The sequence below is a fragment of the Homo sapiens genome, chromosome 3, assembly GCF_000001405.40.
Source record: "Homo sapiens chromosome 3, GRCh38.p14 Primary Assembly".
In the NCBI taxonomy this organism is placed as follows: Eukaryota; Metazoa; Chordata; class Mammalia; order Primates; family Hominidae; genus Homo; species Homo sapiens.
In genome coordinates this window covers 62440164-62459775 of record NC_000003.12, presented here as the reverse complement: position 1 = coordinate 62459775, position 19612 = coordinate 62440164, and the positions used below count along the sequence as shown (strand labels likewise).

Here is a 19612-nt window from a genome sequence, read left to right as displayed (position 1 = left end):
GGGGGGTTAGCAATGGATAAGATGGACAATGCTGTTTATTGGACATTTGCATGAGGGAGATACATATTCTCAACGGGTAGTTTACAAGCATGGTGATTACTCAGAAAGAGAGAGTAGCCAGTGCAGTGTAACTATGGACCAAAGGGACCCAACCTCATCTGGGAGACCATTGAAGGAAATGACATTTGGGCTGAGACCTAAAAAATAAGTAGAGTTTTGCTTGGCAAAGGAGAGAACAAAGAGTATTCCAAGATAGAAAGACCTGGAGGTGAAAGGGAAGATCTAGTAAATTTTAGGAACTAGACGTTCCTTGTGAAAGGCCAGGCCAGAAGGAGAAAAATGACAGGCATGGAGTTAAAGAGCAATCAGTGCAGGAGCCTGATCATGAAGGAGCTTGCCTATGGTACAGACTTCCAGCGTTTTCAGCAGGGAATTTAGCAAAATCAATTCAGCTGGAGAAGTTAAGCGAGGTCACAGAGAGACCAGCTCCCTGTTATAAGCCAGCTGGGTTTGTGGTCTTCTGATGCTGGAGCTGAGGGCCACCTTCCAATGGAAGCCACCATTTATTTTTTCTAATGTATTTTGTTCATATGGGCCAACCAAAAAACACCGCGCTTTAAAAAGTTAGAGAAGTCTTAAACACTGATCTGCTATATCTTCTATCAGTTTCTTTCATCAGCCACTCCCTAGTGTTTCAGAATTTGACATCCCCTTTGGGGTCTGTGACAGATCATTTTATTGCCTACTAGGACATCCTTATTTCCAGTTGATGCCATGAAAATGGAGTTAACAATTAACACACTTGCTGTCTGAAGCAACCCTTCAGAAGCTTTACAGAAGAGAAAAGATAAGTATCCAAAGTTAACTATTTCACTTAATATTGTGTAGTGAACAGCTGAATATCATTCAAAGCAAACATAAGACACACACAGTATTTTCTCCAGACTGTGTGGTCTAAGTGACCAGGTCACAGAAATGCTAGCTACAAAAGAAATACCTAAAGAATATGGGTATTTCCCAGCACTTTGGGAGGCAGAGATGAGTGGATCACCTGAGGTCAGGAATTTGAGACCAGCCTGGCCAACATGGTGAAACTCCATCTCTACTAAAAATACAAAAATTAGCCAGGCATGGTGGCAGGTGCCTGTAATCCCAACTGCTTGAGAGGCTGAGCCAGGAGAATTGCTTGAACTCGGGAGGCGGAGGTTGTAGTGAGCTGAAATCGTGCCACTTCACTCCAGCCTGGGTGATAGAGCCAGACTCCGTCTCAAAAAAGAAAAAGAAAAAAGAAATACCTAATGAATAGGTACATGGCTTCAAACAGGAAATAGTTGTCATGAAATTAATTATAGATTCTATCCTGACCTCCAAATCACATGCAGTGGGAAGTTTATCGCCAGAAAGTTAGAGAGTGATTAAGATAAAGGTGTGACTGTGAAGCCCAGACTAACAGAAACGTAGGCAGGCTATTGACCGTTTCTGAGCCTTGGTTTCTTCATCTATACAGTGGGAATGCTGATAGCTGCCTCAGAGAGCCACTGGGCTAATAAGAGATAAACAGTAGCCCTTTCATAACACCTGGTATATAGTTAGTAGGTGCTCCATAAATAGCCATTCTTAGCCTTACTGTCAAATTATTCAAAACTGTAAGAAAGTTTACATGACCCTGGTGCTTTTTTAAAAATTTTTTTTTAAATTATACTTCAAGTTCTGGGATACATGTGCAGAATGTGCGGGTTTGTTACATAGGTATACATGTGCCATGGTGGTTTGCTGCACCCATCAACCCGTCATCTACATTAGGTATTTCTTCTAATGCTATCCCTCCCCTAGTCCCCCACCCTTCAACAGGCCCCAGTGTGTGATGTTTCCCTCCCTGTGTCCATGTGTTCTCATTGTTCAACTCCCACTTATGAGAAAACGCGGTGTTTGGTTTTCTGTTCTTGTGTTAGTTTGCTGAGAATTATGGATTCCAGCTTCATCCATGTCCCTGCAAAGGACATGAACTCATCCTTTTTTATGGCTGTGTAGTATTCTATAGTGTATATGTGCCACATTTTCTTTATCCACTCTATCATTGATGGACATTTGGGTTGGTTCCATTTTCTCACCAGTTCAGTCTTAGCATACCAATCATTTCTCCTGTAAGCAATCCAAACTATTACCCATGACAAGGTCAATCAAAACTCTTGTGACTTATATTTTAGCATATTCTTTCATGCAAAAATTTGATTCATCAAAGTCATATTCCATTATGTTTAGTGTATTTTAGCATTTTGTGTTTTATTTTAATGCCAAAAGAATTTTTCGTTTTTACATAGTCTCTAAAACACCTCTTTATTAATCAAAATGTTTGCTTAACTAGAATTGAATATCTCATTCTCCAAGCATATTTTGGTTTGAATCAGGTTTATTTCAGTGTGCACTGGGGTTTCTTATTTTTCCAGTTCTGCCACTTCCTAAAGTATAATCTTAGACAGATTGATTAATCTCTGACCTTAGTTGCCTAATCTGTAAAATGGGAACAATAAGACCTACATTATGTGGTGTGGGTAGAATTAAATGAGAAAATGGTGGATTGGAGTAAGTATTTGACACTTGTTAGACATTGTTATTATTGTAATTATTAGTGTAGTTCTATCACTGAGCACAAATGTTAGCATCAGCTACTCAATCAGCCACTGCTGTATGTAAATTGCTGAACTAAGAGTGGTAGAGATAGGTTTAAAAAAAAAATCTTACTCTACTGTCTGGAAGTTAGTGTCTAGAGTGCATTCAATCGAAGGAACTTTCTAGACTTTCTGGTTCAATGTTTCCACTGATATGCTAGAGTCTGCTTGGCTCCTACCTGCTGGTGAGAGCCGATCTCCATTTCTCTTCCTATGTTCGAAGTTAGGGATGTCACATTGGTAGCCTAAAACTGACCACAGCAGGAGCATTTTACTGAAATTGGCAAACACTATCTTACTTATATTTCAGTATATTATTATATTGGGTTTTTTTTTTTTTTTTAGACAGTGATAGATAAAGAGAAAGGGAAGAGAGAGAGTGTGAGCTTTTCAGAAACCAGCATACCACTGAGTATATCCCAAGTGCAGGATATGTACCACATGGGACCTCAGATGCTACTGGTGTTAGATGCTCCAAAAACTCATCATTAAACAAGACCAATCACATTGTGAGAGGGTTATTATTTTTCTAATTCTCTTTTCATCTTTATCCTTATGTCAAGAAGAAAGTTTCCATTTGGTGCTTGTTTGTCTTTCACACTTTTCTAAAAATCTCAAATTTTCATTTGTAACAGAGGACGGGGAGGCTTCAGGCTCAGGACCCTTAGCAGGCAACCATGTCTACCCAGAATTTACTACCATTATTTTAGTTATATTGTATTTATTTTCACCCTGGCTTTTTTCTTATTGAGAGTGATATTGCTTTTTCATTTATAGTAGAAACATGTTTCCCTTTATAATTAAGTATTTTTAAAGTGAGCTAGTTTAAGGAGGAATAATAAGTAACTATAATACAGATGGTTCATGGGTTGCAGCCAAAATCAGGAAGGTGTATTGATGCTGGAAGTCTGGGAAGTACTGATACTTTCTAGCCACTCCATTTTGCAGTTGCGGAAACTGAAACCAGAGAAGGAAAATGACTTGCACAGCTAGTTTAATAGAACTCAGACCTCTTAACTCATCCCTTGAGCCTTGCAAAAATCCTCCCTGGGATTGCTTGTTTTCTTCACTCTTTACCTGAGAAAATGAAAACAAAAAAGAGAGAGAGAGAGAAACCAAACCACTGTGTTACAAACCCAGGCTATGATAGATAAGTTGTCACTGGCAGCAGTGACATAAATTATACCTTCAAATTCAGGCTAAAGCAGCCTGCAGGAAAAGTCAAGGACACCAGAGGTCACAAGTGACCCCTTCGTGCAGAAGCATTACTATTCAGTAACAACAATATAGCCCTCACTTGCTCAGCACCAAAGCCATGTGGAAGCCAGGGACACAAGTAAGACATGGCCCTTGTCCTCTTCAAGCTTGCATTCTGTCACCCTTCTTAGTGTTGAGAGATGTTCAAAAGGCAAACAAAACACAAAAATGCCAGAAGGGGGCAGGGGCCCCCACTTAAAATCCGCAAAAATAAGCTTACATGTCTGCTTGGAGATTTTACAAAATTAAAACTTTCCAATTTGCACTTCCAAGTTTCTCTTAAAATAAGATCATGTCACAAAAATCAACAAAATGGAAAAGCATACAATGTGGCCATTAGGAGGGCAAACCCTGGAGTCCAAGGAAACCATGCTTCAAATACCAGCTCCATAATGTCACTAGTTGTGGATCTTTTCAAAAGTCGATTAACCTCTCTGAGCCTCAGTTTCCTCATCTGTAAGCAATGAGAATTTCACGCCCACCATTGTGAGGGTGAATTCCTTATAAATTGCTTAACCTTGTGCTAGGCAAAGAGTAAGCATGCAACCATTGTTAAGTATCAGCAGTGTTAAGAGGCTGGGTCTGAGGGAGCCCTTGAGCCTTGGAAAAATCCTCTCTGGGAATGAGGGATTGGGACAGAAATGAGGAAAAGGAAAACTGGAAGGAAAAACAGGTCTACTTCAATCAGGCATCTGTTCAGAAGCCCCAGGGGGTGGGGGGTGGGGGGAGATGAGAACATACACTTCCTGGATCTAGTCTCGGAGCACAGTACCCTGAACAACAGGAGATGAGAACAATTCTCATCGTTAATGAGGCTGCGGCTCCTAATCAGAGCATGGAATAGAATGCGTTTGCTTAATAGAGATCATTTCCTTGCCTCTTGCCCAACTCCCCAGCAGTGCCAGCAGCCCTTTGTTTAATAAAAGGTAGGGACTTTGAGGAGTATGGTGGGATGGGCTGTAGGAGGCATTACTACCCTCATTACTATGATAATAGTTTAATCACAATCAATATTTATGAACATGCACAGAAGCCGTACAATCAACCAGTAGCCCTGCAACTCAGTTTTCATGTTCTTGCCTAAGGATGCTTTGCAGGAAAACCTCGGCTCTCTCCCACTTTCCCATGGCCCTCTGTGAAGCTCTGCAGTGGTTCACAGAGGTCATTTCAGAATATTATCCTTGATGGTTACAGTTTTATATATGAGGTCTTATTTGCGGTCAGTTAATATTATAATACATTTTGTTGTTCAAAATACTTCCACAGTCATGGTAGGACTTTTCCCTTCAAACTTTGTTAAATTGTCTTGTGAAAAGGCAGTGTAGGGACAACCTGATACAGTACAGAATCCTTTGAAGTCAGGCCCACCCATTAGGGTTCAAATCCTAGCTCTGCTACTTCTTGACTGTGTGCCCTGAGGACAGCAACTTAACCTCTCTGAGCCCAGTTTCCTCATTCATAAAGGAAGAAGACAAGTCCTTAGAAGACGTGAATAAGATACTGTAAATTAGGTGTTCAATCATTGGTAAATGCATCCTGATTTTATATATGACTATCAGTTATTAAATATTTCTGTATTGTTCATGAGAAATCTGAGTAGTTCATTGCTTTTCCCAAGGTCACATAGACACTAATTGAGAAAGTAGGAGTAAGAGTCAAGACTTGGTCAGTATTCTCTTTTCCATTATCTGAAATGGTTCCATTTATAGGCAACTTAGAGAAACCTTATTTTTTAAACATCTCAAACTTTAACTCTTTTCTTTCAAATGGGAATCAAATTTTGAAAGCCAGTGATCATTTTTCAAGCAATGGACATCTGGTGAGCTACTTATGAGAAATTTTTGGTGTCACAGTTCCCACCTCTGTAAAAATGGCATTTACAAACTCTGGCCCTCTTATAAAAGGAAGCAACGGACAATGGCCTCATGATGTATATGCATCCATGTAGCATTTGACCCAGTGCTCACATGGAAATAGTGCCTCCCAACTGGCCCAGCACAGTACTGACGTTCGGTAAGCAAAGAAGACATTTCAGGCCCTCTGGTGACAGAGCCCTGGGAATCCATCATGCTGTCTATGATTCCAGATATACTTTAAGGGTTGTGTTTTTCTCCAGTCCTCAGAAAGTATTGGAAGGGGCTTTCACCGTAATTGTCACTTGGCCCCAGGCAGAAGCCACTGAGGTTTGCTCAACTGCTCACCCGCACACGCAGTCCCAGTACATCCGCCCACTCACACATTCTGTCTCACCCAAGCAGTCAGTCCCTCAGTTGGCACTTAAAATTTATTCATCTTCCCAAGATGCACTTAGAGCATCCAGATTATGTATTGAGTGTTGGTTCTGTTAGGTTTTGGTTTTGCCTTTATAGAGGACATACCTCTAAACCATGACTTCATCAACCAAACACCTTGAGAAGGTCACCCTGAGAAAGATATATTCTTCCTGCAAAATCCCTTTCTCCACTAGAATTGAAAATTGAAAATTCTATCACTTTTGTTCCTTTTTTCAATAATTTTTAATGAAAGTCATATCGGCACATGGCTAAAAAAAATGAAACAGTACAGAAACATTCATAATTTTTTTTAAAAAAACACAGCTCTCTGTCCTAGTCCTTTCTGCTCTCAATCCCTTCCTTCAAAATGAAACTTTTTAACAATTTTTTAACCCCTGGAGTGCTAAGTACTATTATTATATTGTTTATTATTCTTATTATTTAGAGATAGGGTCTCACTCTGTCTCCCAGGCTGGAGTGCAGTGGCATGATCACAGCTCACCGCAGCTTCGAACTCCTGGGTTCAAGTGATCCTCCTGCCTCAGCCTCCTGAGTAGCTGGGAATATAGGTGCACACAACCACACCTGGCTAATTTTTTGTTTGTTTGTTTGTTTGTTTGTTTTTGTAGAAACTGAGGTCTCCCTATTTTGCCCAGGCTGGTCTTGAACTCCTGGTTTCAAGCAATCCTCCTGCCTCAGCCTCCCTGAGTGCTAGGTTTATAAGCATGAACCACTGCACCCAGCCTTTGTTGTCATTTCTTGATTGGTCAATCTTAGTGATTATTTGACTCCCTACTGTAATAGATAGAGCTTCAGCTCACTTTACATCATCCACTTCTCCTCCACTCTCCTTCTGTTACAGTTATTACAGTATTGTTCTTCCTGTCTTGGTACCATTATAACTTTAAGCTGTACCCATCCACCTTTATTTCCTGTTTCACCCACAAAATGAGACTATGACACCCATATCTTTTTTCTTCTCCTGCTTCCTCCTCCAATTAATTTCATTTTCTAACATAGAAATTCTTAATTCATATCACTTAAAAATGCAATAACCTATATTTATGAATGTCCCTTGCGTCTAGACCAGCACTGTCCAATAGAACTGTCTAAAGTGATGGCAGTATTCTGTATCTGAGCTGTCCAAAATAGTCACTAGCCTTATGTAGCTCTCAAGTACTCTCAACTGCGACTAGTGCAACTAAAAAGTTGAATGTTACTTGTATTTTCTTTTAATTTATTTAAATTTAAAGAGCCACATGTGTAGGGTCAGACCAACCTTAATATACAAGTGCAATTCACTAAAACAACCTGACTTTCCAGCAGAAATGACAATGATTTCTGGCACATAGTTCTTACTATGCCCAGGGACTATGCCTTTTGAACTGATCATGCCTAGTGGTACTTTCTTAGTTGTCCTATAAGAGTGCTACAGCTCAAACACCTACTGTAAGAAAGTGCTAGAAACCTCTAACCTCTGCCCTGGGTACTGAGTAAAGAGTGCCATTCTCTAAAGTTCATTCATTCAATATATTTTTATTGAGCCACTACTATATACCAGGTAGTGTAGACACTAAGGAAAGAGAGCACCTACATTCTAGATATGAGGCTGGTGAGAGATGAAAAATCAAACCAACAGGAGACGAAATGATTTTAGGCATGGCACTGAGTAACATTTTTACATACTGAATTGCCTTGACACACAAAAAAATCTACATTTCTAAATTGCTTGGGTTAGGGAAGTGGAAAAGGGAGCAAAACAGCATCATTAACCTTGCAGCAGAAATTTCAAAGGCCAAACATTGAAGTAAATTTTGCTAGCCCTTTGACGTGGTGGTGTGGTCTGCAGTATCTAGGCAAAGGACAAAAAAAATTAACTCAGAGCTCTTGTGAAGTCAAACAGGCGGGGGTGGAGTCAGCTCATGGAGAGAATAAATCATTTCCTTGATTGTTTTTTTCCTTTTTTTTTGTGAGAGATCATGGGGCGCTCGGGCAGTCACTAATGCGGTGGTATCTGTTCAGACTTCTTTCTTCTTCCATCTTTGAGTCTTACCCACCAGACTTCTGTTTGCAAAAAGGGCCTAATCCACTTTTTTTTTTTGTCTGTGCATTGATTTAATAGTATCAAACCCTGAGGTCCTCGTGGTCTGCACCTGGGTTGCTTTTTCCCCTAATGAAGCAAAAGAAGTGGTTTAAGCCCCTGCCGCGCTCCCTATCAAAGCTGCACAATGATTAACTCAGGTCCCCTTTTTAGGGCCAGGCAGAAGAAAATCCCTTAGTCATCAGCATTGTGAAAACCCCAGAATGGTGAGTGCTCAATGAAAAGATTACCTTGGGCACCTGAAAAATAATGGAAGAGCTCAATAGAGAAACCATTAAGCCTGTCTACACTGGCTAAGTGAGGTGGAGGGTCGAGGTAATTAGCTGGGACATTCAAGCCAGAGAAACTATTTTGGACCTTCTGCACTGACTCAAATGTATTCAAGTCCCTCATACATTTTTTTTTTGAGAAGCCATTTAAGGTTACAAGAAAAAATTAAGACTTAAATATAGCTAATTAATAAAAGTGGTTTCATAGTTTTTTTAAAAAAAGAAACTAAATAATAGGATGATAGGCAGCTTAGGGAATGGGAGGTCCAAAGCTGTAACTTATTAGTCATGTGCCTTCAAGCCAAGTTGCTTATCTCTTTTAGCCTTGGTTTCTTCAACTGTAAAATGGGAATATTAATAGGATCCCCCTCAAAAGGTTGTTGAGGCAGAAATCATGGAGCAAGCACGTTCATCCTACAGCTCCTAATGTGGTACCTGTACATAGTAAATGTTCTTTGTTTCAGGCACAGGAAAACATGAACAATTGCTCACTGACAGCGGCTCTTCCCAATTTTATCCTTAGCCTCCGTCAGCCTCTCTGGATTTGTGTCTCTTTTTCTAAGCTTTTTCCAGAACTGGCTCTATCTGGAGAGTCGGGGACAAGAGGGTTCATGAATGCTGCTAGAGAAAAGATATGGGTTGTCCTACCAGAGGGGATGGTCAGAAAGCAGGGAGTCCCAGGAGATGAAGTTCTGCTGAAGTCACAGTTCTTGCCTCCCTTTGAGGGCAGTTGAGAACCTGCTCAGGAGGGATGCCAGACCAGGTATCTGGGGCAAGCCCTACCCCCTCCCCTTTGTCTCCTGTGCCCTAGGGTACATGGCTATGGCTTGGTCCTGGAGAGTAATAGATTGTGTTGTTGATTATAACCCAGGGCACTGGCCTGGGGAACTGCCCTCTCACTTATGCCCACACTCAGTCATACTTAGCAAAGAGAACAGGTCTTTGCTGTCAGCCTCAACATTTAGAGGGTGAGTTCTCAGTGCATAGGGTGTCACAGAATTGGCAGAAAGTATGCCAGACTGAGAATCAGCTCAGATACCTGTTGGTAACCTGGGGAGATTCCAGAATCTTTTTTATAGCAAGAAATTGCCCGTGGGCCAGAGGTGGGGAGTGAAACTGACTATCACCACCAGGCTGAGGAGCATGTGCTTTGTCTACACCGGTAAGCCAATATTACCAGTAATGATGATAAGCACAGCTACATTTAGTTGAACCCTTTGAGTAGCGTTATTACTGTCCCATTTACAAAGGAAGCTCAGAGAAGTTAAGTAATGGCTAGTCACCAAGCTAAAAAATGGCAAAGCCAGAGTTTTAACCTAGCTAATCCTGAACCCATTCTGTAAGCCACTTCTCTAGATTTAAAGTTAAAAAAGAAAAGAAAATTACACACACACACACACACACACACTCTTTTAACAACCATTGATGGAAAAAAATACACAAAGACAAAAAGCTACTATATTATATAGTGCTTTTAAAGAAATTTGCGTTTTGTTCATCAAAACAATATCTTATTATAATGTAAAATAGCCTTGTGTAGATGGTAAGGGCTGTTGGTTATTTGATCTAGATACAGTGCCTGGTGCATGCTTGGATTTTCTGGCAATAATTCCAAAACTCTAGTGGGTTGGGAGGATCTGATCATTCCCTTCTACCTAGAGTATAGCTGGCAAAAAGACATATTCCTATGGATATGGATATGGATAACTTAAGAAAAGGTGATCCTTAAAAAGGGAGCACTGCTGACATTGTACAGGAAAAGATTCTCATCCTGGTTCTGTCAATTTCTCCGCTCTGCTACATTTATCTACTGTAAAGAATGTAACTGGTGACAACTTCCTACCTCTAAGGGGACTTGAATCAGAGAATGAAAAGCAGCCCTAGAGATAAACTCTCATGTAGGTAAAGAAACAAATCCAAAGAAAAGAAAAGAAAAGAAAAACACGTCCAGAGCCTTCTACCTAGCCTCTGTTTGAGCTTCTCCAGTGAGGTGGAGGTCTCTATCACCAGAAATGGCCAGTTCCTGGCTGGAGTGTGATAGCTGTTTAGACCTTTTTCTAGGGCCCTGTAATTTTACACATTCATTCTGATTCTATACTCTGGAACCATTGTGAACAAATTCAAACCTGCACTGAAGCTCCTTAATTAACTACATGAATATTATGGTTTTCTTTGCAATTAGCCCATCTTTTTCTAGGCAAGATGCCTTTTCTTTCACTTTCCTTATAGAATATACTGCCAGAATCCCCCTTTTCCTCATCATCAATGTCCTTCTTAAAGTTCAATATCCAGCGGCCGGGCATGGTGGCTCACGCCTGTAATCCCAGCAGTTTGGGAGGCCGAGGCAGGCAGATCACCTGAGGTCACAAGTTTGAGACCAGCCTGGTCAACATGGTGAAACCCCATCTCTACTAAAAATACAAAAATTAGCTGGGTGTGGTGGTGGGTGCCTGTAATCCCAGCTACTCAGGAGGCTGAGGCAGTAGAATTGCTTCAACTCGGGAGGCAGAGGTTGCAGTGGGCCGAGATCGCGCCACTGCACTCCAGCCTGGGTGACACAGTGAGACTCCATACCACCCCCCCCCAAAAAAGTTCAATATCCCGAACCAAAAATGATACACACATGTCTCTAAATAATAATAGACCACAATTTACCCTGGGTTATTTTTTCCTGTTATTATGGGATGGGAGGAGGATCAATAAGACTAAGTGCAAGTCATCATTTATTAAATAAAAGAACAATCCTAACAAACCGAGGGCTGGTGCATGAGGGAGAGTGGATGATTTTCATTTGTGACAGAAACTTGCCTCATCTTCCCAAACTGCCTGTAAAGGAATAGAATTTGGTGTCATTCTCCGGATTGTAACTGCATGTTAGTAGTAAATGGTAAATGGTGTGTTTAAAGGTTGCTCATTTCAGCTGTAACAAAACCCCTACCAACTGCTAAGCATCAACATCACAGAGTACAGGAGGCAATTTCTAGCTGAGAAGAATTGTTCTGCTAGCACCTGCTCTGACCACCGATGCTTGAATTCCTCATACTTTTCTACCAATATTGAGGAGATCAAGAGTTCCAAGGGAGAAAGTTGGGCTCAGATGACCGCATAGGAGTCTTGGCTTCTCTGCCTCCTGTCTGTGATCATGAGCAAATAAATTCCTTAAATTCTATGGGTTTTACGTTCTCGATTGTAAACGGATCTGATTGAATCACCCCCTTTTTGCAGGGTGGCTTAAAGAAGAAACTGTTTGTGGAAGTGTTTTGCAAATGAAAAATATCACAGAAATGTTAGATAATAGTATACATGGGGGAGACATGAAAAAAAAAGGCAAGCCACCTTCTTTCCTGAACTAAGTTCTAGCATAGCAATGGCGAGGAAAGATTTGGGGTTTAGAATCTTTTAGTAGAAATGATAATTGTGCAAAATCTGGAGAGCCTGCCTCAAATCCCTTTAAGGACTAAGAGTATTCTCCTTTACCCACCAGCCTCTGCAGGCAGTCACCTTTCTATACAACTATGTTGGTTTTCAGACTGATCAGTGACGTGGCTCCTTGATGCAATCTTGCCTCTGCTTACTTCTCAATCATCCTGAGGCCAGAACTGGTCATTAGCTTTCTCTCATTGCTTCCCTCTATAAATTTTCCCTGAGTTTCCTTTCTAAGCTGGTACCAGGTGAATCAATGAGGAGACAGCCATGAGCAAGACCAAGATAGCCTTTGCTCTCATGACATTATATGGGAGGTAGACATTGCACAAAAAAAAATTTCGGCTGAATTGCAATCAATGCTGCAAGAACAAGTGTAAGGTTCTAAGAGAATCTGTAACAGGAGACTCCAGGAATCGTCTTGGGGGCTGGCAATGATTCAAGAAGATAGAATGCATTGCCCTCTCGATAATTACCTAATTGATGTGTGTTCCTTGCTTTAAAGTTTACAAAGCACTTTCTCATGCGTTTTCTCATTTCACCAAGCTTTCAGCCCTGCAAAGTACACAGTATTGTCACCTTGGTCTAGAAATCTGGAAACCAAGGCTAAGGAACTTGGCATGATTTCCCCAGGGTCAACGAGTTCTGGCACTGAAAGAACTTTTGACTCTATATTCTGGGCTCTTTCCACCCCACCCTATTGGTTCATTGGCTGTTTTCTCTTGAGAGCTGACATTTTGGAAACTAGCATTGAGAAAAGAGCAACAGAGGAAATCACTCCCCTGGGTACTTTTCTGGGAGACATTTGGGTGAAGCTTGATTCCTAATATTGATCTCAGCCAAATTGCAGGAGGAAGCCTGGCTGAGATGTGAAAAGACATCCTAACTGCTTTTTGTGCATTGCAGTCTTTGTAGTTCCCAGTAAAAACAGGAAACCCTCTCTGACCCCAAATGTAGCTCCTTAGTCTTAATTGTGCCTAGAGAAACATGTGTGACCTGAGTCAAAATGAAACACACAGAATATTAAACATACTCCCATAGGCTTTATTTCTCAAACCCAGCTGTTCATTGACTTTTCACAGTACTCAGAACTCACCCACATTTGCTTATGAATTCATCGTCTTAGCTGCCATTTGTTCTGTATTTACATCCTGGGGCTAAGTGTGAATTCACCCTTATCAACCTGCGGAAATAAGCACTATTACTAATAATAACTCCATTTTGCAGATGAGGTAACAGAGGCTCAGAGAGATGAAGCAACTTGCCCAAGGTCACACAGCTTGTAAGTGGTAGAGTTGGGATTCGAACTGAGATCTGACTCCAAACTTCATGCTCTCAAACATAACACTCTAGCACGCTACCATACTCCCTCCCCACAAAACTAAAAATTTTATAACCACTTCCTGCACTTCCCATCTGGAATTTTTAGCACGTAAAAGCAGGAGACATAACGGCAGCCTTTGGGCAGTTTTGAAAGGTTCTCATCCCCCTACCCGCAGACACCATCTCCCTCTGGGTTGAGGATGTCCATCTTCCTCTTAAAAACCTGAGTTAATGAAAGCTGAGAACTGAGGTTTTTAGTTATTTAGTTAGGACAACCTGCAGCCAAATTACACAAAGACCCAAGGTACCAGAAGTAACAGCAATCTTAGTTGCTTCTCTAGACTGGTAAGCCCCGGACTAATCCATGTGGGTTTAGCTAGTCACTTTACTTTTTTTCAGAGGGAGGGAGGAAAATGTAAAGCTCCCGCTCCAGCAACAGAATCTGAATCAGTAAATTTGCGTGTGCATTCTCTCTTTCTGCAAAGCAGTGGCTATGGCTTGAAAAAATAGCAAACAGATTTTATTTTCTAGTACCTTTCTGTTTTTCCTGGTCAGCTCCATGTGCCAGCATGTTGTTTTGATTCTGATGGGGATACAGCATTGAGCAGTGAACAATTAAACATAAACACCAGCCTCACTTCCATCCTCTTCTTTCCTCTTTAGGTGAAGGCAGCTTCCAAATATGTGGATGTACCTGTGAGTATTTGAAAATTGTTTCTCATGGGGTTTTTTTGTTTTTTTTTTTTTTCATTTTTACTTTTTGTTTTCATGAGAATTTTGATAGTGCTACTCATATTAATTGCTGCTAGCTAAACTGTGTGTTGCTGACTTGGATCATCAGAAAGAAGCCAAGAATATTTTGTAGTAGAATTTTTTTTTCAGATAAGAAGACGGTATGGTTTCTTTCATCAGGAAGAAAGGTCCTGTTTGAGGGTAAACCCACTTCACTTTCACTTTCATTTTCATTGGTTTCTCTGTTGTTTCATTCTGTTTTCATCATGTTCACCAACCCTCCTGTGTGCACACCTTCAGAGGAAAGCCATGAAGCTAGAAACTTGCACAAGGGTGATAGTATTTTTTGTTAGGTTGATGAAAAACTTAATTGTGGTTTTGCAATTAAAAATGTGGAAAACATAATTTCTTTGCACCAACCTAATAAAAAAAACAAATAAATTCTAAATTTGTTCATTTTGGGGTCAATTCTGCAATTGTTTTAAGGAAACCTCATAAAACTGCTTATAATTTAGTGCAGGCCTCATTAATGAAGAGAGCTCTCAAAGTTCACAGATAAAGCACTCGAAGTTTCCCAAAATTTACATTTAAATTGAGGTTAAGTACAACACATGAATGCTAAAGTGTGGGATTACCTGTGATAAATCAGGATACATTTATGGACAGACTTTGCCCTGCCTATTAGCAAAATAAAATTGGAGAGATTTTAATATATTCCAGTAAAGTGAAAAAGAAAATGATTTTGTTTCTCCATTTCTAACAAAAGAGGTGTGAGTCTATTATAAAATATTAAATTTAGAGAGCTTATCTCAACAGCCACCAAGGGTCTTGTACTAAGCATTTCTCATTCTGAACGTGGTTAAGTACCCCCCTTGTTCAAATACTTATTTGTTAAAATTTGTTTTTTTCTAAAAGGATTTGTATTAACATTTAAATTCATTTCCCCAGGAAGCTAAGTGTGTAATGGTTTACTGGCTTATTTCTCAAAGGAAGACAAAATAGAAAATTGGAGTGAATTTAGCATTAGCATATATTGTGTTTGTTTAATGAAAGAATGTACAATCAATAATTATGCTTTGAATTTATATGATACTTCCTATCCACAAACCTCAGATTCCTTCAGGTAGACAGTTCTTATAATGGAGAATAGAAAAAGCTCACATAACTGCAGCAGGGAGAGAACTTAAGTAATTTACTTTCTCAAGCCTCCAAAGTATAAACTTTCCCTTCGTGGGGAGCTAACTACTCAAATTTTCTGGCCCTGTTTCTCCATCTTTAAAATGGAGATGACGATAATACCTAAGTCATGGGTTTGCTGTGCAAATTAAATGACACAACATACATAGAACATCCAGCACCATACCTGGCACTTATTAGGAATTTCAGTCCAGGAGAAGGACACACGTGGTGGTGGTAGTGTGATGTCCACACTCTATTGCATATAGATGGATGGGGGATGAATTTGCAGACATCAGCGTTGGGCTCCACTGGTCTTCAACAGTGATAGAAATTGAAATTCTCGGCTTTCGACCCAAAGATTTGGTAGCTGTGGTCTATTCTCTGTAGGATCCAGAGCAGAGGGGGTATCTCAGCCAGGTTTGAACAGGTGGCCTGTAGACAAGGCCCAAACACCTAGAGAAACTTGATCCAGCCATTGGTACTAACATCAGGTTATGTTAGATTGAACCACATGAAATTGGCATATTGGTGAGGTCAAAGAAGTCAAATATCAGCCATTTCATATGATTCGATCTAATAATTCCTGCAAGCTAGGTTCAGATTTATTATAAAGATGGGAGGGCAGTAAGTGGACTCTATATCAAAATGCAGGGTGCCCTGATCTGTACTCATTAAGTGTTTATGGATTAATTATGCTAAATTAGAAGACTCGTTAGGTGCATTAGTCCATTTTCATGCTACTATGAAGACATACCAGAGACTGGATAATTTATAAAGGAAAGAGGTTTAATTCACTCACAGTTCGGCATGCCTGGGGAGGCCTCAGGAAACTTACAATCATGGCGGAAGGGGAAGCAAACACGTCCTTCTTCACAAGACAGCAGAGGTAAGAAGAATGAGTGAAAGGAAAAAAGCCCCCGTAAAACCATGACATCTCCTGAGAACTCACTCAGTATCACAAGAACAGCCTGGAGGTAACCACCCCCATGATTCAATTACCTCCTACTGGGTCCCTCCCATGATACTTGGGGATTGTGGGAGCTATAATTCAAGATGAGATTTGGGTGGGGACACAGCCAAACCATATGTCATTAGGCTATGAGGAAACAAATTGAATTAGTAGAGTTTTCACACTCTGGAGGGCAGAAGAAGTTGATGCAGCATGTTCCAAAATGTGGTACATTTACCACTGATTATACAAAATATAATAACTACTATTACTGCTACTACAACCAAGCGTTATAAAGTACTCACTAGAACAGTTTACATTTTATCTTCACAATAACCTCACTTTAAATATGAGGAAACTAAGGCACAGAGAAGTTAATTTGCTCAGGATCCCACATCGGGTTAGTAGAAGAGCTGAGATTTAAGCCAATGCCCTTACAAATTCTGCCATACTGCAAGATAATTCCAGTTAGTGCATAAACAAACACCTTGATTTGGATAGTGGTAATTATTTTAGTGCATATTAGAAAAAGTATTTTTTTACCAGCTATTAATGACTTAGGACAAAGCTAAATGTTAAGTTGATTAACATACGCTTTAATAGCTAATAATATTATAGTAAACCTTTTAGTAAATAAATAACAATTTTATAGAAAACAATAGTACATAATACACGTATATTCTATATGTACATTGTTTATATATGGTAGATAATAGTAATCATTTGCTTCTGAAATCAATCCTAGGAGGGGTTAATATTATCATTCTGTTTTATAGCTGAGGAAACTGAGGCACAAAGAGGTTAATTAGCATGCCCAAGGTCACCTGGTGAATAAGCAGAGTGTGACTATCAGGTGCTGTCAGTTGGACCATAAAGCCTGCACTTCCAGGGGTGTGGTAGAGTAGCTAGCACTGGTTCCCAAGGTCAATTATGTGCATCTCTCTCCAACTCCGCCTTCAATGAGAGCACATTGGTAGCTCAAAATTAGCCTTGATGGGAGTATTTACACCATGCAAATTGGTAAACACTACAAATCAGGGTGTTTTGTTTTGTTTTGTTGTTGGTTTTGAAGAGTCAGTTTATGCCGGGCGAAGCAGCTCACGCCTATAATACCAGCACTTTGGGAGGCCAAGGTGGGTGGATCACCTGAGTTCAGGAGTTCAAGACCAGCCTGGCCAACATAGTGAAACTCCGCCTCTACTAAAAATACAAAATATTAGCCGGGTGTGGTGGCGTGCACCTGTAATCCCAGCTACCTCCTCCAGAGAGGCTGAGGCAGGAGAATCACTTGAACCTGGGAGGCAGAGATTGCAGTGAGCCGAGATTGTGCCATTGTACTCCAGCCTGGGCAACAAGAGCGAAACTCCATCTCAAAAAAAAAAAAAGAGTCAGTTTACCAGCATACCACTAACTATTACCTATTAAGTCAGCAGTCCCCAAACTAGAATGTACAGCAGCAATACTTGGCAAAAAAAAAAAAAATTTCTGGTTTGTTTTTGTTTTTTATTAATTAATATATTCAGCTTTTATTATTATTTTTTAATGGGCACATAATTGTTTTTGTTTTGTTAATACAGAGTCCCAGGCCCTCACCTCCAGAGATTCTGATTCAGTCATTCTGGGGTGGAGCCTGGATATTGCTTTCCATTAAGTTCTTCACATAATTCTGATAAGTAGTACAAGTTGGGAAACCAATGGACTAAATCAGTGATTCTTGACCTTGGCTACATATTGGAAACTAGGGAGCTTTTGCAAGCATTAATGCCCAGGTCACTTGCCAGACAAAATTGAAACAGCATCTTTGGGGTTCAGGGCCCAGACATCAGTATTTTTAAAGCTCCCCAGGTCCTTCAGATTTGCAGCCAGGCTTAAGAACCATCAGATAAAATCATTTCTCAACTCATTTCTATCTCTGAAGCCTCTGAGATCACCTGTGTTTCCCTGTGAGGTTTTTGTTAGAACATTTAATGGTTTAGTTCCATGTGGGCACTAGCAGTTAGTCACCTTTGAGATTTGTCTCTTAACTATCCACACTACTGGAGGGAAGTTCTAGTACCAGTCACCTAAAACATTACATGATCCCCAAAGCATATGTCTTTGTTTTAGATGTAGTTTTTGACCCATTGGTATATGTAGGAGATTTGCATTCATAAGTAGGGCTGACTTAGGATGCTGGAAGTTTGAGCTCATTTTTCTCAAGCTCAGAAGTATTCCGGTAGGGGCAAGTTCAGATTAAAATGTTCTTCTTTTTCTGAGCCACAGGGTAGCTTATTCACAAATTATGTCTTCCACACATGGATGCAGTTAACTATACAGATATTTGTTTAAGTGTTTTCTAAAATCTGTGTCATATTCAATCAGTCTGTCCAAGCCACATTTAAAATACACAATGTCATTATGAGATATTAAAAAACATCTAAAAGTTTGTCCCAGTGTGTGCGGGTAGCACAATGATATAAAAGCATAATTTAATAGTATCAGCTGTCTGGTCAAGTATATTTTCCAGCTATAACTAAGGGTTAGCTTGTTTGTGAACAGTTTTTCTTTTAATTGTTTTGATTGGAAATCTACTTGAAATGCATTACACAACCTTCTTGCCTTTTTAAACAGGGTACTGACTATAATCTTTTCTCAATGACTCAGGATCACCATTGTGACCATGTCTTTCCCCAGTGGCTGCATAGTGACCCACTCCCCTCCAGGGCCTCCCAAGATATAGGGGAGGCTTGCCCCTGCCCTCGATAGTCCCAAACCCCAGCGGTTGGTGAGTCTGCATGTCTGGTGTTGCAGTTGGGCAGCCTCCTCCCTCACCGTCAGGCATAAGGAAAAATGATAGCTCTCTCTTATCTGCACAGTTTTTTCAAACAATCCCCCTCTTCCCTATTTCTGCTCCATCAAGGGATGGAAACCAAACTTGTTGGAATTGGTTGGGAGTGGGAGCTTGAGGACTCCATTATGAGAAAACTACACATGTTTTGTGCTGAGGCTTTATCATTTTTATTTTGACGTTGGCTCCTCTGAGGCCCCCTTTTCTTCTTGGTTCTAGAGTAGATTCTAAAGGTAGGTAAGGCTGTGGAATGGTATAATATTATGGGGGGGGGGGGGAATCATAGTAATTCATGTTTGTATTACAATATATGGCTTTCAAAACATTTTTACATACATTATTCTAGCTGATGACCATAACAGTCCGTGGAGGTAAGTAGGGGAGCTGTTAGTAATCCCATTTTATAGATAGCATAACTAAGGCCCAGAGAAGTTTTTTTTTAACTCTTCTTTTACAGAAAAGTTTAAGTGATATTCACAAATTCCAATTTGTGGGAGATCCAGTAAAAATCCATGCAGTGTGACTGAAGAGCTTGAAAAAGGAGGAGATGGAGAAAGGATTTGCTCATTCATTCTTGAATTTGTCCATTCAGCAAATATTTACTGGGCCC

The 19612-nt window shown here is 40.3% G+C and overlaps 1 protein-coding gene across 50 annotated transcripts in view; it reads left to right on the top strand.

Annotated features, from left to right (window-relative positions):
- The window catches only part of CADPS (calcium dependent secretion activator), a 477069-nt gene that overhangs the window by 415641 nt on the left and 41816 nt on the right, over positions 1-19612 (top strand). For all 50 annotated transcript variants that reach the window (NM_183393.3, NM_001438352.1, XM_011534199.3 and 47 more), the window contains one exon: positions 13979-14011. In NM_183393.3, coding sequence (NP_899630.1) covers positions 13979-14011 — 33 coding nt within the window. The remainder of the gene's footprint in view (positions 1-13978; positions 14012-19612) is intronic.